Source organism: Homo sapiens, chromosome 3, assembly GCF_000001405.40.
Source record: "Homo sapiens chromosome 3, GRCh38.p14 Primary Assembly".
In the NCBI taxonomy this organism is placed as follows: Eukaryota; Metazoa; Chordata; class Mammalia; order Primates; family Hominidae; genus Homo; species Homo sapiens.
This window is the reverse complement of record NC_000003.12, coordinates 165,983,844-165,987,977: the sequence shown is the minus strand read 5'-3', so window position 1 is coordinate 165,987,977 and position 4,134 is coordinate 165,983,844. Positions and strand designations below refer to the sequence as shown.

Sequence of the window (4,134 nt, the reverse complement as noted above, 5' to 3'; positions counted from 1 at the left end):
TTGAAGTTCTTAATCTGGATATCTCTCTCAGTCCTATATCATGACTTTTTTTAATTTACCTTACCATTGGCATATAAATATGATGTCATTTCTGCCACTAAAAGGAAATTCCACTTGCCCTAACAGTGTATTAACATTCTTTCTCCAAATACTTTCATACCATTTTCTCTCAAACTCATTCCAGCCAATGCTTTATCCCACCAATTATTTAAAACCAGTGTTCTTAAGGTCATCAAATCACACGTTGCAAATTCCAGTATTCAGTTCTCAGTCACTGTGGAACTATCATTAGTATTTGCGTATTTTCCTCTCCCTTCTACTAAAAATAAAGTAAAAATTATCTTAGATCCCAGGACACCATACCCTCTGATGCTTTGCATTTTCTTTTTCTGTTCTGTTTTTTAATTTTTTTTTTAGATGGAGTCTCACTCTGTCACCAGGCTGGGGTGCAGTGGTGCGATCTCGGCTCACTGCAACCTCCGCCTCCCGGGTTCAAGCGACTCTCCTGCCTTAGCCTCTCAAGTAGCTGGGACTACAGGTGTGTGCCACCATGCCCAGCTAATTTTTGTATTTTTAGTAGAGACGGAGTTTCACCATATCGGCCAGGATGGTCTTGATGTCTTGACCTTGTGATCCGCCCATCTTTGTCTCCCAAAGAATTTTCTTTTACTAAGAAGAAAGAAAAAAGGTACTGGAAAGCTCCTATTTATTATCTTTTAAACTTTAGAGGTTCTTAGTAGAAAGATAAACTCAAGTTTAGTAATTTAGTGTGGAGTTTAAATGAAAGAGTTTTTTTTCATATGCAGGAAGTATTGACTATTAATTCCCAAAACGCCACCAAAAAACATGTTGGTAAAGTAGAGCTAAATTTATTAGACCTATCATAGTAAGAGAGAGCATTAGAAACAGTCTTAAAGCATCTCAGTATGAAAAAAATCAGGGAATGATATTTAGAAAGTTTTAGATTCTGGACTCAGGTGGCCTAATGCAGGTTTTTCTAGGCAGTACCCTGATTGGGACTGGGTAAATTTTGTGACATAATAATTTAAGATTGGGGAATACAGCAGAGTGAAGCTCTTAAATAGAATATTAATAAGTAAACTTGTTTAGTTAGCTGTTTATGTTAGTAATCTATTGTTCTTACATGAGAATATTTACCTCTATATATAGGTATAGAGCAATTTTCTGATGCAAAGAGTGAATTTATTGGCCTATAGCATAATATTCCTGGAGAAAAATTTTTTAGAACAAATGGTTAAATCATATTGACATACACGATCTAAGATTTTATTTTTGAATATTAGGCTATGTGGAAGCATGCTGTTTAAATTCTCAGAAGCCTGTATATTTTATGAGGCATCGTACTACATTTTGTCAATCTACTCTTAAACATAAATATGGTTATTTGAAATTTATTAATATTTTTAGAAGATACTAAGTATATATTTGACATGATTTTAAATTAGAAGTTAGCAAACTATGTCCAAGAACCATATTCTTTCTTGTGTATACATTTTTAATGAAGCACAGCCACACACAATCATTTACTTATTTTCTATGGCTAATTTTGTGCTGTAAGAGACCAGAGTAGTTGCAACAGAGACCTTATGACCTGCATGCCTACATTATTTACTGTTTGGTTCTTTAGAGAAAAAGTTCACTAACTCCTCTTTCAAATGGTTAAATACACGTATACAATTTTAGTTTGCAAGGCAAGAGAGTTTACTATGAAAATATTTGTAATTAAAATTAAAATAACATACTTTATATAAAAAGTAAGATTTTTATAAGTCTATCCATTTTCAACATTACTATGAAATAGGTAGCATCTTGCATATGACATAGATGATGTGTCCTTTACTAACGATATTACATTTAAACATGTTAGAATATTGATATTTTTACCTTATTCCATTATACTACACATAAATATAAAACTCATAACATTTAAACATAAATTTTTGTTAATGTTTTAAACAAAAAGTGGAATAAAAAGGTAATTTCTAAGATTTCTATAAATGTATAAAAGAGAAAGATTCAAGTAATTTAACTGTATAGAATTAAGAGAAAACAATTCTAATATTTGTTTACAATAAAAGGACTTTTCTGTGAGAAGAGGGCAATTTTCAGTCAAAGTGTTAAAATTTACTTTTATTTGAATGTTAGTTAAGAAAGAAGAGCACTTTTTCTATAAAGGGCTTTTATAAGACATATGTATTATTTAAATTGAGTTTCTATTTCCTAAGTAAATCTCTTTCCAGGAGATCTAATGAAGCCACTAAGGCTAAGACCCCAAAAAGATGTTAAACCAGCTGAGCAAATGTAAACTTTCAGTAAGAACAGATCTCATGCATATTTCATATGTAGAAGAAAAACTATGTGAAGTAATCACTTGCCCTTTCCCTGATATTTCAGGCAGTAGAAAATAAAAAGGGGAAAGCATAAAAGAAAGCCTCCAAATAGTCCTTTGAAAGGACATCTGGTAAGGCTGTAAGATTGCTGTGGTTGTTGAATCTTCTTTACATATTTAGAGCTGAATGTTTCTCAGGATGTTACAAGTTACAAGATTCTACGTTTTTATTGTTCATATAGTCAGTCTTTGGGGCCTAAACATTTCATACCTTGTAAAATAAATAAATTTAAAAACTAAACCAAAAACCCCGCGGCATCTTCAAAAACAAGCTGTAAATAGTTCCATGGCAAATTGTGATTGCTGTCAATCCTGGTACATATGTACATCCAAACACAAATAGCATTATCAAAAATATATGCAGGAATAAAAAAACATAAATGTCAGGCCTATTAAGGATCTTTTTTATAATTCAGGTACATATCAAAACCTAATTTTAGACAAAATCTAATTTAATTTCTTAAGAAATCAATGAAAGGGTTCATTTATAAGGACAAAAGCTTAATTTATCTTTTAGCTACCATGCCAATGAGATCCCTTAAAAATAGACCTGTAACTCAGGCTATAAGAAATTTGAACAATTTGTAACCTCTTTTGTTATTTATTTGCTTATTCTCAAAATGAAAAACCCATAAATTGGTCCTTTTCTGTCTAAAAGTTGCAATGGAATTAAACAGTTGCAGAAAAACCATCTTGTACAAATTCAGTTTGGTGTTGGAGGAAAGAGAAAAATGTTGAGGTATAAATGAGAGGTAGCAAATACCAACAGGACAAAGTAGACTGAGCTTGATGGCCTTGCTGTAAGAAACATTCCTGCATATGTTAAGGGTAAAGTAGCTGAATAGTAGAAAGAACTACTGGTATTTCTTACAACACGTCCAAGGCTTTTATCACATCAACTGCAAGGTCAGTCAATGATATTATCCATTCTTGAAAACTGCAAAGTTTGTCAAGAAGGTGAGTTTACCTGGTTTTGTAACATTTATTTTTAGATATACCATTGCATTACTTTTCTATTGCTATTACAAATTACCACATATGTAGTGGCTTAAGACAACACAAATGTATTATCTTAAATTTCTGGAAATCAGAAGCCTAAAATAGGTTGGCAAGGCTGCATTCTTCTCGATGCTTTGGGAATGAATATATTTTCTTACCTTTTCTGGCTTCCAGAGTCCACCAATTTCTTTGGCTTCTGTGCTTGCATTACTCCAACCTCTGCTTCCTTTATCACATCTAGCTGAGTCTGACTCCTCAGCATCCCTCTTATAAGGACCAGCATTATTACATTTAGCCCACCTGGATAATCCACGATAAACTCTCCATCTAAAGTCCCTAATTTAATCACATCTGTAATGTCCCTTTAGATATGTAAAGAAAAATATTTATAGTTTTCAGTGATTATCACATCATATATTTGTAAGGGCATTATTCTATCTAACATAAGTATTATTTACTTATGCTCCTCTTCATTCCCCTTCGCTAACTACTTATTTCCAATATATTTACCACAAATGTTGTGATTCTGTATACAGTAAATTTCAGTAGGGTAGGGCTCTGTATTTCCTTTTGTCATCCAATGAGTTCCAAAGACCTGGAACTATGCCACATACATAATAGCATTTGCATCTGTTAGGTTATAGTGCCTTATCTGAACCCCCCAAATCGTAGTGGTTCAAGACAACAAAAGTTTATTTTTCATTTATTCCATCAGTCCTATACAT

General features: G+C 32.5%; 1 annotated feature.

Annotated features, from left to right (window-relative positions):
• Positions 2,932-3,510: an enhancer, noted in NCBI's record as "OCT4-NANOG hESC enhancer chr3:165702256-165702834 (GRCh37/hg19 assembly coordinates)". NCBI's record gives its function as "activates a minimal SCP1, AML or CMV promoter by ChIP-STARR-seq in primed H9 embryonic stem cells {active_cell/tissue: H9 hESC(primed)}" and the evidence as "EXISTENCE:reporter gene assay evidence [ECO:0000049][PMID:30033119]".